The sequence below is a fragment of the Homo sapiens genome, chromosome 6 (genome assembly GCF_000001405.40).
Source record: "Homo sapiens chromosome 6, GRCh38.p14 Primary Assembly".
Lineage (NCBI taxonomy): Eukaryota > Metazoa > Chordata > Mammalia > Primates > Hominidae > Homo > Homo sapiens.
The window spans coordinates 109,467,620-109,483,258 of NC_000006.12; the positions used below are offsets into that span (position 1 = coordinate 109,467,620).

General features: G+C 45.6%; 1 protein-coding gene across 2 annotated transcripts in view, besides 4 other annotated features; it reads right to left on the bottom strand.

Annotated features, from left to right (window-relative positions):
- Positions 1-15,600, bottom strand: part of ZBTB24 (zinc finger and BTB domain containing 24) — a 20,626-nt gene extending 5,026 nt beyond the window's left edge. Inside the window, exons 1-6 of one of the 2 annotated variants that reach the window (NM_014797.3) lie at positions 15,479-15,600; positions 13,456-14,435; positions 9,144-9,311; positions 8,556-8,639; positions 7,780-7,863; positions 34-115 (exon numbers count right to left, since the gene is read on the bottom strand). In NM_014797.3, coding sequence (NP_055612.2) covers positions 34-115; positions 7,780-7,863; positions 8,556-8,639; positions 9,144-9,311; positions 13,456-14,407 — 1,370 coding nt within the window. In that variant the 5' untranslated portion in view covers positions 14,408-14,435; positions 15,479-15,600. Of the gene's footprint in view, positions 1-33; positions 116-7,779; positions 7,864-8,555; positions 8,640-9,143; positions 9,312-13,329; positions 14,436-15,478 lie in introns of those variants that run through there. The other variant, NM_001164313.2, reaches the window with a different exon arrangement.
- Positions 4,420-4,489: an enhancer, noted in NCBI's record as "active region_24929". NCBI's record gives its function as "activates an Ori minimal core promoter by ATAC-STARR-seq in GM12878 lymphoblastoid cells {active_cell/tissue: GM12878}" and the evidence as "EXISTENCE:reporter gene assay evidence [ECO:0000049][PMID:35858748]".
- Positions 4,830-4,899: an enhancer, noted in NCBI's record as "active region_24930". NCBI's record gives its function as "activates an Ori minimal core promoter by ATAC-STARR-seq in GM12878 lymphoblastoid cells {active_cell/tissue: GM12878}" and the evidence as "EXISTENCE:reporter gene assay evidence [ECO:0000049][PMID:35858748]".
- Positions 13,091-13,592: an enhancer, noted in NCBI's record as "H3K4me1 hESC enhancer chr6:109801913-109802414 (GRCh37/hg19 assembly coordinates)". NCBI's record gives its function as "activates a minimal SCP1, AML or CMV promoter by ChIP-STARR-seq in naive H9 embryonic stem cells {active_cell/tissue: H9 hESC(naive)}" and the evidence as "EXISTENCE:reporter gene assay evidence [ECO:0000049][PMID:30033119]".
- Positions 15,291-15,580: a silencer, noted in NCBI's record as "silent region_17463". NCBI's record gives its function as "represses an Ori minimal core promoter by ATAC-STARR-seq in GM12878 lymphoblastoid cells {active_cell/tissue: GM12878}" and the evidence as "EXISTENCE:reporter gene assay evidence [ECO:0000049][PMID:35858748]".

Sequence of the window (15,639 nt, forward strand, 5' to 3'; positions counted from 1 at the left end):
CTCCATGCGAGAAAAATATCTGCAAAACTTTACCGATGGATTCTGATGTGGGTCTGAAGAGAACTCTTTGCTGTGAAAGATTTGCCACAGATTTCACAAGTAAATGGCTTCTCACCTAAAAAAAACAAAAACAAAAACAAAAAACCCAAAACAAAAAAACATTTAACAATATACATTCAGAATAAGACAAAATTAAAAAAACACTTCGGTTTCACAATATAAACAGAACAAAGGCAATCCCCTCCGTAAGCGTAAACGAATGATGCACTCACCAAATATCTACTCTGTAACTAACCTAAGCACTGTGTGCCGAGTGCCAAGAGCATACACAGAAATCGTAAGGCATGGTTCTCTTAAAAACCTGAAAACTGCAACAAGGAAGTGAGTTACACTGTATTTACTCCTGTTTTCTCCCCTTAGATATTACAGCACCTATGCTCTCCTGCCTTATTGCTTGGCTAGGTAGCCCACTTGACCCTGAAAGGACTCCTGTGTGCTAGGGTGAGTTATGTATTATTCATGTTTATATCAACCTTCCAAATATATCCAGAATCTGACCACTGCTCAGTACCTCCACTGCCACTCTCTTGTCCACACCACCACCATCTCTTGCCTCTTATGGGGTCTCCATTTCTGCTCTTGCTTCCCTGCCATAAACTATCAATATGGCCACCAGAGTGAGCCTTGATGCAGTCAGGTCATTTTATGCTTGGGCTGCAAATGTTCTGATGATTTCCCACCCCAGGATAAAACCCAAAGTTCTTGCCCTACAAGCGATCATAGATCTGTACCCCATAAACCCTACTCCTCACCCCAAACTTCCCGGATCTCATCTCAGGGTGTCTCCCAGCATGGTTCACTCTCCTCATCTCCTTCAAGTCTCTGTTCACATGTTATTTTATCAGTGAGGCTCCATCACCACCAAGAGCACTACAAACCTTGCCACGCACTCCTTAGTCCAATTCTCCAATTTAGTTTTTCCACAATGCTATTGCTGCCTCATATAATGTATAAGTTATTTATTATCCATTTCTTCCTTTTTAAGATAACTTGTGGGTATGTCTGCTCCTAGTACCCCAGTGCCGAGAATCTGGCCTGGCATGCCATTTCAGAAATCCCTGCTGAATGAACTTCATGGGAGTGGCACACCTGAGATGCTATAACTGCTCCAGAACCCACCAGGCTTCACTAACATCAGCAAGTGCTTATTCAGTGTGTTTGCATGCTGAACATACAATGACAGACTGTTCATGTTCCCCAGAAACAAAATTAAGTAATCCAATGCAGGCAAGAAAACTAAATTGGAAAAAAAGAAAAAAAAAAAAAAAGCAAGCAGCAAAATCCACTTAACTGGAGAACAGGAGAACAGCAAAGGATAAGTACAATTTGAAATGGAAGATGGTCAGTGAGCTTCCCTTTCACAGCATCTACTGGAAAATTCAGGCAAGACATTTCTCCAAGCTCCATCGAGGCAGAGGACAGCTGTAACAACTCGGATGAATCTGCATCTTTGCATCATGAACTCTTACCACTACAAAGATTAAAACCAGGCAACTGCCATAATCTGTCTATAGCTTTCTACATCAGAGCTGGGGCCTTCTCTGATCTTGGTTGGTTTTCTCCCTCTCCAGATTCAAAGACTGAGTACCTGCTGTTTGCTTGTGATTGTAAAATTCTTGTTGCAGTTTTCAGGTTTTTAAGAGAAAGAACAGCAACAATCATCCATAACAACATTAACTATACCATTCAGCTCCAGCTGAGTTTCTATTTCAGAAAGTCTGTCTGATGGCAAATGTTTTTTGAGGGTAAGTGTTTGCAGGAGCAACATCCTGCAGTGGAAGCTCTTTGAGGGAGTGAGCAGGACAGTGGGAAGGCAAATTTCCCTAGCCAAGGTCAATCTGCAGGGGGTCTTCCCGCTTAGTGGTTTCTGATCTGTTCCCCTGTGCACAGCTCTACCACCTTCAATGGAGACACCCATTCCTTAAATTTATTTAGTTCTCAAACACTGATAGACCATCAATAAAGTACACAGCTAAGAAACAAAAAAGAAACTTTTCTAATCTACTTGAGGAGATGCACAAACTAATTAAGTAACATAGGGCTGTGTTTCACTGAACATTAAAACGAGTGGCGTCAACAATTCTGAGTGCAGACAGGGTGCTGGATGGGGTGGGCAGGATCTGGCTAGACTGGAAAGAAGCCTGGGCCAGGGTACTAGTCTAAATAGTATGAGCAGAAGCTGGTGTCAGAAATGACTACACGGTGTGCACCAGTGACCAAGGATCACTGTCAGGAGTCAGGAGGCCAAGGCAACAGGAGCTATGAAATCCAGGCAGGGGACCTGTGGAGCCTCTGGAAGTTTTTAGCAGAATGACATGCTGAAAGTACTAAGAAAATACACCTGGGAATGATGAGGAGGGTGGGCTAGAGGCAGGAGGACCTCTAACAGGCTATGCACAAGGCCTGGACCAGGAGGTGGCAGGAGGCAGACGGAGAAGGATAAGGTAATAGGACAGGGCCTGAGAGGCATGGGGACCGGAAAGAAGTGTGTTACAAGAGGATTAGACAATAGCGATTAAAGGAAAAGGCAGAGACAGGAGTGTGATGAAAGGTTCCACCCAGGGTGATGTCAACAGAAGTACTGAAACAGCTCCAGGGTGTACTTCCAGACCCTCTTCTCAGCAGTTACTACACCAATCCCACCCACCCAGGGTGATGTCAACGGAAGTACTGAAACAGCTCCAGGGTGTACTTCCAGATCCTCTTCTCAGCAGTTACTCCACCGATCCCACCCCTACCCTTCCCCAGTGACTTAAATCCCGGACCCCACTCCAGATAGGATCGATGAGTCACTGCTTATTGGCATCACAGCTGGATTTCCCATGCCCACCTGCTGAAACCCAGAATAACATGGGGCATGACATGTTAATGACAACATCACCCAGCCCCTGTCCAGCCAGGCACAACAATCACAGTGACACCTCCCATTCCCTCAGCTGTCACATTCACCTGGCAGTCCAGTTCCGTCCGTGTGGACCCCTCAGCATCCTGCCTCCCACTGTGGACCACGGCTTTGTTTTTCTTAAAAAATTACTGTGTTCATTGTAAAAGAATCAAATATTGAAAATACAAAGAATATTAAAACTGCTCCACTATTCTCATCTCTTGAGACAACCAGTTAACAATGGCGAATATCTTTACAGACAAATCTGTTTATTTGCGGTCTTACTGTGTGAGGTCATCCAATGCATGCCGTTTGTCACATCAGTAAAGCCACACCACCATTTTAAAACCCTGTGCTGTGTACCATTGTGTGTACTGCCCCAAATTTACCTATCTAATCCCCTCCTGGGACATTCAGGTGGCTGTTAAGCTTGTTAAGTTATAAACAATGCTGCCTATGATGAATATCCTTAGGCAAACATCTTTTCACAATTGTGCAGTTTATGTTTTGGTAAGTATTGCAAAAGTTCCTTCCAGGGGGTTCCCAAATTATATTCCCACCAACAATAAATAAAGATGTGCATTTCCTCATGTACTTGCCAATCTTGGCAAAAAAGGGACACATGTCCATGATAACTGTGGATAGCATGGTTTGACACCTGTGTACTTGGCATTCCTATATGGTCTTCTCAGCTGTTTCCTGTCCTGTGTTCACACCTCTGCTGTGGCTCTGACCACGCCATACTGTTTCATAGTAGATGGCACGTAGACTCTGTAAGGGCATGTTATGGTGAGGGGCCCCCAGGTCTCAGGAAGATGGGAAGACCCCCAGGTCTCAACGTTAATGGATGGTCTCAACACACAGTTGAAGAGATTTGGGAAGCTTCAACTTCAAGCCACAATGAGGCTGTGAACAGAACTGTGACTTACTGAACTTTATCATTTGTTCCCTGACAGGGCCATCTACCTGTGAGTAGGAACCCTCAGGGCAGAATCAGTGTTTATGGAACACCATCCAGGAACAGGGACACTGGCGGGGTGGGACTGTGCTGTGGGGTCAGAGGTCACTCACCAGGCTTCTCTGTGACCTGGGCTAATTCCCTTGACTTGTTCCCAGCTCACCATGCAATCTTCTGATCACTAACTTGGCTTTCGGGTCACTAATGTGAGGAAGGAGGTGCTGTGGGCAACAGAAAGGTGTAATCCCTCTATTGAGTTGATATATCCTCTGGTTTATCTGTCCTGTGAACTCATTTGGCTTGATTGGGTCCCTGTAAACCTGACCAGTGCCAGGTATGGGGACAAGATGTGAGCAGAAGGGCCTGAGATGTGGTGACCTGGCAGGTACTGCTTGTCTGCCTGACACTTTGCCTCCATGTCAAAATGTGTTCACCTCCCTCACTGGGGATGCACTCCTAGGAAAGGGAACATCTCTAATTTGCCTTTGACTTCTCCAGTGCTTGGTGCAGGACATCTAACCCAGAGAGTTTGTGCCTAAAGATCTAAGAGATGAATGACAGCTCATCTCTAAGAGATGAAGTCTTGGTTTCCAGCTGAGCATGGCCCTGAGAGTAGGACTGGCACTTCTCACTCTGAATGCCCAGGGAGCAGGGAAATGGCACGCCAATGCCCTTCACCAACATTCAAGCAGATTCTCCATGCTGATGCTAGGGACAGATGGGTCATAGTTGCTGCTCTTGAAGAACCCCAATTTTTTGATAGGTTCAATTTCTTTTCATATTTCTAAGTCATGCAAACCACAGAGGCCCGTCTGTCTCCTTTTTAACTCATCACACATCTTCCACTTTCTGTTCTGCTTCTCAAAGTTGACAGGCTGAGAAGAGTTTGCTGGAATTATAGTGGGGGAGGTCTTCTGTTCCTTTTCATCCCCACTTCAAGTCCTACTGCTACTCACAAAGCCCAGAAACCTCACTCCCCCTTATGCTCAGGCAACAGAACCAAGGGGAAGTGCCTCTTCTGGCACTGCTCAGCATGACCAAGCCAGCTCCACGCTCCTCCACCACCGCTGTCTCCCTAGGGAACTCAGCACAGCGCCACCCACTATTTGCAGGCACATGTGCACCTGTGGAAATCCAGAGCTCTGGCTGCATCTCTCCCCCGAATTCTCCAGACCTGGAAATCTAATGATCTACCCCACACCTGCACATGGATGTCAAATAGACACCAACCAGTCCACAATCTAACTCCTGATCTGTTCTTCTTAGTCTTCCCTAGCTTTTCCTCCTCACAGTGGCTTTTGCCTCCTCTTTCAACTCCCACATCCAATCATGAGCGAATCACATGAATTCTTCCCTGGACTATCTCCAGAACTGGACCACCTGACACCACCTCTGCTGCTACTGTGCTGTTCCGAGCCCCACTACTGCACAGCCTCCTGATGGGTCTCTCTGCCTCCACCCTGGCCTCGCCCCCACCTCACAGGGTGGCTAGAGTGACCCTATTACAACCCTAAGTCATGCCATGTCACTCATCTCAGTAAAGCCATCTCCCTCAGAATAAAATCCAATCTTTACTGTGGCCTTCAAAGTACTTCAGCCCGAGTGCACCCTACAACTGTTGAGGGGTACTTTAAAAAACACCAATTCCCAGGCTCTGCCCAGGTGAAGTCAATCAGAATCTTGGCAGCTGGGACAAGGCTTTTTTTTAAAGCTTCCCAGGTGGTAAAAAGCATGCAGCTAAATTGAGAACATCCACCTACACTATGACTTCCTACTCCCAGCTCTCTGGCTGCCTTGATGCTCCTCCCAGCACGTCTCCAGCTTGTCAAAAACATTTATTCCTGCCTGAGGGCCCTGTGCCCAGGGCTCCCCCTGCCTAGAATGCTCTCTCCTGGACATCTTCAATGGCCGGCTGGCTCACTCCCCCACTGCATTCTCATCTCCATCCAAGATGCCACCTCATCTGTGAGACCTTCCCAAACCAGTCCATGCATAAAAGAGCAACTCTCTTTCCGGCATCCCGCCCCCTTACCTTGCATTTTATTCTTCAACGCACTCACAACACCAAATGTGTTATATACTTGTCTGTACTCTGTCTTCCCTATTGAATGTTGGCCCCTTAAGGCAGGGGCCTGTCCATCTCATTCACTGCTGTATCCTCAAAGCCTAAAACAATGTCTGGTTCCCAGTAAGTGCTCAGTACATGTGTTAAAATCCATATCCTATGAGATGTTTACTGAATTTAAGAAGAAAAACTTGTATTTAAAAAACAACATCCAGGCCAGGCACAGTGGCTCACGCCTGTAATCCCAGCGCTTTGGGAGGCTGGGAGGGTGGATCACTTGAGCCAGGAGTTTGAGCGAGACCAGCCTGGCTAACATGCCAAAACCCTGTCTCTACAAAAAAAAAACACAAAAATTAGCCAGGCGTGGTGGTGCGCACCTGTAGTTCCAGCTACTCGGGAGGATGAAGCAGGAGAATTGCTTGAACCCAGCAGGCAGAGGTTACAGTGAGCCAAGATAGCACCACTGCACAACAGCCTGGGCGACAGAGACAGTGACTCCAAAAAAAAAAAAAAAAAAAGTCCAAAGCACCATAAATCAATTTGCTATTTAGATAATTCCAGTAGACAACAGAATTATTAAATAACCTGTAATGGCAAGTTTTTCTTAGAAAACTGAATAGGCTTATTTTTAACATACATTCTTTGACAAAAGGTATAAAAGATCCAATTTTCCGATCTTACATAAAAAAACTGACCTGCCCTAATCAATGCTGCCTCCTCGTCATCTCTGAAACTGATTTTTCTGGAGGTGGTGCTGCTTAAGTTTAAGTGTTGGTTCTAGGGGAGAAAGTGGAAACATTCTCAGTGTCTATGCTACATTTGTGTCTGTTACATTTGGCTGTCTTTTCTAAAAAAATAATCTTGGGCCAGGCACAGTGGCTCACGCCTGTAATCCCAGCACTTTGGGAGGCCAAGGTGGGCAGATCACAAGGTCAAGAGATCGAGACCATCCTGGCCAACATGGTAAAACCCCATCTCTACTAAAAATACAAAAAAAATTAGCTGGGCATGGTAGCGCACACCTATAGTCCCAGCTACTAGGGAGGCTGAGGCAGGAGAATCACTTGAACCCGGGAGGCAGAGGTTGCAGTGAGCCAAGATCGTGCCACTGCACTGCAGCCTGGCAACAGAGCGAGACTCCGTCTCAAAAAAAAAAAAAAAAATTTATCTTGCTGGGTATGGTGGCTCATGCCTGTCATCTCAGCATTTTGGGAGGCTCAGACAGGAAGACTGCTTGAGCCCAGGAGTTCAAGACCAGCCTGGGCAACATAGTGGGACCCATCTCTACAAAAATTAAAAAATAAAAAATTAGGTAGTGTGGTGGTTTGCACCTGTGGTCCCAGCTACCCAGGAGGCTGAGGTGGGACGATCACCTCAGCCCAGGAGGTCAAGGCTGTGGTGAGCTGTGATCGTGCCACTACACTCTAGCCTGGATGACAGCACAAGCCCTTATCTTTAAAAAAAAAAAAAAAAAAAAGTCTTGATATCACCTTCAATGCTGAAGTAAATTAAGAGTGAAACATAGAACCAGACTCAGACTCACTATTCTGTGGTATTAAATGAATTGTGACATACGAATAGTCCTCAGTAAGTGATCTCCATTTTGCTCATCTACAAGAGATGTGATTTCCCCAAAGACAGTGCTGACAACATTCTGCCTTCCAACTTTTAACTTATCTTCTTACACAACTCCCATCCAATTTATAATAAACATTTCCAAACACAGGCTTAGCAGGGCACTCAGAGAACTTCATTCTTCACTCTCCTGAAAACATCCCGTGTACTGGGGGGACAGACGAGATGGAGTTTTACCTGTGTGTGTTCGCAGATGTTTCTTTAGCTGAGACACATCCATGAATTTGCGATGGCAGTCTTTGCATTCCGGTAATGAGTGGCCTTGTCGCAACAATAAAAAAAGTGTCAGTGCATACATGCTCTCCCTGCCTTTTCTTCAGTGATTTGTGTTAAAGCACTTCCCTGAAAAATAATCACTTTAAATATAGTACTTTAACCACAAAAATTTTTTCATTAATTTGGTAACTGTTAATATTTTCCTAAGCACCTCAACTCACTGCCTCCTCCAAGAGAGCTAGGATCCTTCCAATTCTAAATGTAGTCTCTCCTTTTTTCCTCAAAGTATTGGTGTGACTGAGGCCACAAATGACCTCAAATGACACTCGTAACCCACATTCATTTCTTATCAGTTGGCAGGAAAGAAAAAGGACAACAGGTAGAACCAGGGGAGAGAAAGCCTGGGCTGACAGCCATGGGATGATGATGTCTCTGCCCAGGCACCACTAACAACCATTCACTGAAGCTCCCCTGTGCAAGTGGCACTTTTGAAAGATGCCAATTCTGTAGGGTTTCTGTGTGTGGCACCAAAACTGTAGTATACAAATAAAACATAATTCACATGGTGGCGGACAATAACATAAAAACATGTAATTTAGACTCTTAAGGCACTTTTCCCTAAATACCCTATGTGAACGATATGTGCTAAGAGCAGAACAATATAAACCTAATGTTTCAGAAACAATTCTTATTTGCATTTCTTCCCCCCCAATCTAAATGTTCTCACTTTATCGTACCTGTATGAACTCGGTAATGGCTCTTTAGCTGTCTGTTCTGGCTGAAATATTTTCCGCATTGATCACAGGTAAAAGACTTCTGTCCTGCCAAAAAAACCAAAACACTAAAACATGTAAAAAATTATAAAGAACTGGAATGCTCACTAATAAGGTAAATACTACAGTGGGTCCAGGTCCCCATTTTCTACAAATGATACAAGCGACTTGTTTACATACCCAGAAGCCTTCAATCTACCACAGAAACATAAATGTGCAAAGGTATGTAAGGCAATCGGGAGTACTGGAGACTGGGGTAGAACTGGAGAATTTAAGTTTCCCCGAAAGGCGTTCAAAGTAAAACAATTCTAAACTTTGGTGGTTTAATAAAACATGCTTGCACACTAAACTCCCAGCAGCCAGTTTATAAGCTCTAGTTTAATGATCCGTGCAGAACTCTAAACTGCACTCAGACAGATGCAAAATCCTGTCTTTCAATGACACCACGTTGGAAATGATACTAGGCTGAGAAAACACCATTTAGGTGTTGGTAATGCCCACCCTGGGGAATGGGAATCTGGTGAAGCTGGCCCTCTGGGCAAGCCCCACTACCTGAGTGCAGGCTCATGTGCTCCAGCAGTGAGTGCTTGGTGGTCAGAGCCTTGCTGCACACGGTGCAGGTGTACGGCCGCTCGCCTGTGTGCATCCTGGTGTGGACCTGTAGCGAGTGCTTCTGGGCAAAGCCTTTTCCACACTCATTACATTTGAAAGGTCGCTCCCCTGGAAGAAGAGCCCCAGAAGCATGGTATAAGTAAGAATCCACACATTTTTCTGTCTCTCCCAAATTAAAAAAACAATAAAGGATTTTTCTTAAAAGGCACACATCCAAAAGGCCAACAATGAACACAAGAGACATCAGCAATAAAATTTTGGAAGCTGAACAGATGAATCTGAAGCCAGCAGTGAGTAGCACTAACATAACCTAATTTTTTGTTTTTCCTTTGTAACAGGGTCTCACTCTATCACCCAGGCTGGAGTGCAGTGGCGCTACCATAGCTGACTATAGCCTCAACCTCCTGGGAACAAATGATCTTCCCACTTCAGCCTCCTGAGTAGCTGGGATCACAGGCATGTGCCACCACTACACCCAGCTAATTTTTTAATTGTAATTTTAATTTTTTTTAGAGATGGGATCTCACTATGTTGCCCAGGCAGGTCTCCAACTCCTGGGCTCAAGCAATCTTCCTGCCTCGGCCTCCCAAATTGCTGGGAGTACAGGCATGAGCCACCACACCCAGCCCAATACAACCTAATTTTTAAGACACAATCTCCTAAGGCTCAGGAATTGGTGGCACCTGCTATCTCTGGAAACAGGGGTGAGGGAGGGTAAATGAAAGTCTGTTTCAAAGGTGCTTAGACCCCTGATCAAATCTTCCACTCTACACAGCCAGGAGACTGTCCCTCCCCCAAAAGAGAATGGAGAGTGTTCACTGAGGAGGGTTAAGAAAAAGGGGTCTTTGGATTAGGAGTTTCTAGGCACAGTTGAGTTGGGATCACCACAGGGAGAGTAAGTCAACATTTCCATCTGGGATGATGAGACTCCCCCACTCCTTCTTCCCCATCCTGTCCTAGACACAGGCCAGCAGCCAGGCCTAGTGCCTCCAAGTGGGAGAGCAGAAGCGTCTTCCAGTGGAACATGAGAGGTCCAAGGTGAGAGAGCAAAGATGTGGAAGCCAGGCACCAGTAAGGACATGGGGCACAGCCACACCACCTCCAGTGAGGTTATGACAGGCCTCCATACAACTGTTTCAGTACTGACTGAGTGGTTAAGTTAAACATTAAAAGCCAGTGCCCTTAAACAAAGGCTGGAATGTAACAAAAGCCCACCAAGAGTTTCCCCTAGGCTTCTCCTGGGCCTTAAAGCATGACAAAATAACGAAGGAATTCTTAACAGGGCCCACTTAGGATTAAACAAGTTTTACTGGGGATCTGAAGGAACTCCCCAAATCTCCGTGATTTAGCAGAAGATAAGGGTAATCACCCCAGCACCTAGACCCATTTAGATTAAGTAAACTTACTGAGGCTCCAGAAGAAGGTCTTTGGGACGCAGACCTTGGATATAGATTAAAAGAAGTTAATCACCTACGTCTTTAGAGGAATGCACACTTACAGACAGACATACAGCTTAGGCGGTATATAAGCTCTGAAAAATTCTGTAATTTTGAGTTGGTCTGGCGATAATTTCCAGGCCTTCTCCCTATAACTGGTTACAGAAATAAAAACTCTCTTCCTCTCCAATTCATCTGCATCTCATTATTGGGCCACGAGAAATAGCAGCCTGACTCTCAGTGTGATCTGGGAACAAGGTCACAGTTTTACAGACTCTCTCATACAAAAAAAATTAGCCAGGCATGGTGGTGCGTGCCTGTAATCCCAGCTACTTGGGTGGCTGAGGCAGGAGAATCACTTGAATCCAGGAGGCGGAGGTTGTGGTGATCGGAGATCACGCCATTGCACTCCAGCCTGGGCAACAGCCTAAGAAATAAATAAAATACAGGCTCTCTCCACACATGCAGCATTGCCAGTAGCTTTTAGCAACCCACCCTTACATATGATTTAAAAAAAAAACACCAGGCACTCAAGGAGAGCCTTTTGTAATAGTGACAGACAAACAAGCAAGAAGAAAAAAAAAAGCAACTTGCCTCCAGTGAGGAAAATGTTGTTATCATTAACATGCTCATAGAGGTAAGATAATACATTGTGAAATAAAAAGATCATTCAAATTAAAACATTTAGAAAAAAAAGAGCTCCTAAAGGGGGAAAAAAATAAGAGTTGAAACAGAAAACCTCAAAGGGCTGAAAAACAAAGTGGAAATCCCCCAGAGGGTGGGGCCAAAAATGATGGAAAATATAAGAGAAAATAAAGTTAGAGAGAACAGAGAAAACAGAGAGGAGAAATCATCTATGAAATAACTCAAGATTTTCCAGAACTGAAAGACAGTTTCCAAACCTTATGAATCTACCTGTTATCTACCCAGATGGAAGAAAACAGACCCATACTAAAGTGATGGGCTGCAAAATTCAGAATACAGATGCTTCCTGACTTATGATGGGACTACATCTAACAAACCCATCATACTGAAAATATCATAAGGAAAAATGCACTTATACAGAGTACTGTATGAATGCACCAAATGCAGAGTACTGGTCATTTACCCACGTGACTGTGTGGCCCGGCATGGCATGAGAGGATCATACTGAATATTACTAGACCGGGAAAAGATCAAAACTCAGAATTCAAAGTACAGTTTCTGTTGAACATGTACTGCTTTCACACTATTGTAAAGATGAATTGAACCATTGTGAGTCGGGGACTGTCTGTACTGAGGACATAAGGGAAGAACGATCCTACATGCTTTTTCTTAAGTCTTGTATAATGATTTAACTCTAAACTATGCACATAAAATTTTTGATAAAAATAGCCAGCTGGGCGCAGTGGCGCACGCCTGTAATCCCAGCACTTTGGGAGGCTGAGGCAGGCAGATCACGAGGTCAGGAGTTTGAGACCAGCCTGACCAACATGGTGAAACCCCGTCTCTACTAAAAATACAAAAAATTAGCTGGGCGTGGTGGCGTGTGCCTGTAATCCCAGCTACTCAGGAGGCTGAGGCAGGAGAATCACTTGAACTCGGGAGGCGGAGGTTGCGGTGAGCCGAGATCGCGCCACTGCACTCTAGCCTGGGTGACAGAGCGAGAATCCATCTCAAAAAAAAAAAAAAAAAAAAAAAAAAAGCTAAAATATAACCTATTACAGTTCAACAAATATTTCTCAAGTATCCACTTTGTTCGAAGTACCTGAATTCAAGCTCTTCAACCTATCTGTAGCTAAAGTCTTTAGGGAGCTTTTAAAAGCACCAAGGCTCCAGACAACTAAATCAGAAGCTCTGGGGTGGAGGTCTAGGCACTGGTAGTTTTAGAAGCTCCCTAAGTGATTCCAATTTGCAGGCTGAGAACCACAGCACCAGATACTGCTGGATCACAGGAGAAGACTTAAGCCCCAGTCCCTATACTTAAGATTACAATTAAGTTGAGGGATATACAAGTGGTAACAACAATCTGATCCAAAGCAGAGTGGGTTTTAAGCACCTGAAAGGGCTCAAAGGAGGAAGGGATTTCTCACTAGGACTGCAGTGTCCAATACGGTAGCCACTAGCCACATGTGGTTATTCAAATTTAAATGAATTAAAATAAAATTTAAAATTCAGTTTCTCAGTCACGCTAGCCACAGTTCAAGTGCTCAAAAACCACATGTGGTTACTGGCCACCATATTGGACATCAGAGATGTAGGAACATTTCCATCATCACAGAAGGGTCCCATTGGTCAGCGCTGGGCTAGAGGGACCAAAAATGAGAAGGTATTTAAAGCTAGATAGCTGAGTTACAAAGTGATCTACACAGACTTGGGCAAAAGCATGGTTATGGTCAAGATGAAGAATGTTCAAGAATCAGAAAGCAGGGTACATTGGGCTAGATCTTGATAAGTGGACATTAAAGGATTCATTCAACAACTACAAATGAGAGGGGTTCTTGAACCAGGCTACCTGGGTTCAATCCCAGCTCTGTCACTAACGGGTGACTCTGGCAAGTTATTTAAGCTCCCTAGAACTTGGTTGCTTCATCTGTAAACTATGCACTTTAGCAACCCTCTCTTACATATGAGTAAATATGATTTTAATCATACAATGTATAATGAGGATATTACCCACCTTGCAGGATTGTGGAGAAAATTAACTGCAATAACATGTATAAAGGCTTTATTACAATGCCCATCACACAGAAGTTGCACAGTAAATGGAAGCTATTATTATCATCACTACTCCCAATTCTGCAACACACTGCAATCAGCTTTGAAAACATCATTACCTGTGTGGCTCCTCTGGTGGATTGCTAAAAAGTGATTGTACTTAAAGACCTTGCCACAGTCTTTACAGCGGGCCTCAGGGCCTCCAGGGCGCTTTCTCCTTCCACAGATCCTCTTGGCTGAACCATGGTCCTCTTGATCCCCAACAAGTTTGTAATCTTTAAGTTTGACGGATCTCCAAATCCTCCGCTTGCTGTATCGACTCTGGCTTGCCTGGCCATCCTCGGTCTTGGGATCATAGTTCTCATCTTTTTCAACTGGCATTTCCTCCTCTCTACTTGGCTCACAAGTAGGCTCCGATTCTTCCTTTTCTTTTGCTGCAATTTGCTCATTCAGTACACCACTGTCTCCTTTAACCACAAAGTTTTGTCTATTCTGAACTGAATTGTTCACTCTTAACTGTATTTCTTCCTCTGCAGCCAGTTCTGATTTCTCCTCCTGCAATGTATTGACTTTTTTTGGTCTTCCCCGTTTCCGCTTTGGAGGATCGTTTTTCTTATTAGAGATAACAACCACTGGGGCACCAGCAGTGTTCAAAGTTGTTGGCTTTGGGGAGCTATGATTATTTTGGAAGTCTGTGTAAGCCTTTACCAGGTCATAGACTTTTAAGAACTGAGCAGTAGCCAGGATTTGTTCTGTACTTTTCTCACTGGCATGGAGATAACCTGTGTAGATAAATTCCAGCAGGATACCAAAGGTGTCTGCAACCATGCCTTCCAGCATATAAATGGATTGGCCGATTTCCCCCTCTTCTGCAAACATCATTGAGAAGTATTCACTACTGGCAGCAAGTAAGGCTTTGTGGGCCCGGAAATGTACATTCTCCACGATTAAAGTAATGTCACAGAGGAAGCCTTTCTTCCTCTGATCCTCAAAACTGGCCAGCACAGTGTCACTGTGAGCGTCTGAGTGTACAACAAGCTGCCCAGAAGGCTCTGGCGATGTTTCTGCCATTTTCTTCAGAAGCCACTAAGGGTTAAATCTGAAATAAGAAAACAAGGTTTAAAAAGGAGAAAGCACTGTCTAAAAGGTTAATGCCAGCCCACATGAACTTCCTATTCACTTCACATCATTAACTGAATTTTACCATTACCATTTTTGTCTGTCTACAAACTTAGCTCTGGGCCCGGGCGCAGTGGCCTCACGCCTGTAATCCCAGCACTTTGGGAGGCCGAGGCCGACGGATCACTTGAGACCAGCCTGGGCAACATGGAGAGAATTCATCTATACAAAAAATACAAAAATTAGCCTGGCGTGGTGGCGCCCGCCTGTGGTCCCAGCTACTCAGGAGGCTGCGGCAGGAGCATCACCTGAGCCTGGGAGTTCGAGGTTGCCGTGAGCCGTGATCGTGCCACTGCACTCCAGCCTGGGCGACAGAACGAGACCACCACCTCAAAAAACAAAAACAAAACAACTTAGCTCGCGGTTTTTTTTTTTTGAGACGGAGTCTCGCTCTATCGCCCAGGCTGGAGTGCAGTGGCGCAATCTCGGCTCACTGCAACCTCCGCCTCCCAGGTTCAAGCAATTCTCTCCCTCAGCCTCCTGCCGCACATTAACTAGCTGAGTGACTCTCCAGTATTCATGGAACGGTTCAGGGTCTACCTTCTATAAAATGAAGGAATGGGATTAACCATCTCCAAAATCCTCCGCAAGCACGAACTTTCTATGGTTGCACAACTATTTCAGGGAGAACGAAGCTGCCTCCATCTCCCAGATTATTAGCCATTTCGTATGTGGGAACCAATGTGAAGAGTGAAGAAATGTGCACGTGCAAAGTGAATGTGAGGTAGCTGCAATAAAATACTAATAACTTAAGCTGCGTGGGGCCGCCAGACACACTAGGGGCGGCGCGGAGCCCCCCGCAGCCCCGGGTGGTCCCAGCAGGGAGAGGTGGCGCGGAAAGACCCCCACCTCCCCGCCCAGGCCCCGCGGGCCCGACTGGGGAGCACACGGCGGGGGAGGGGTCGGCGCGGCAGACCTACCGCTCAGGGGCGCCCGGTGGGGTCCGGGTCGCTGCCAACTCACCCGGCGGCCTGGCGGGAGACCCACGCCGGGGCCCGCTGGCCCTCCGCTCCGCCCCGCCCGCCTCTGGGGCTTCTGCGCCGCACCGGTTTCTGCTCCTGCGCCGCCGCCGCAGCCACAGCCACAGCCAACCCGGAAGCGCGGCGCCAAGAGCCGCTTGCGCG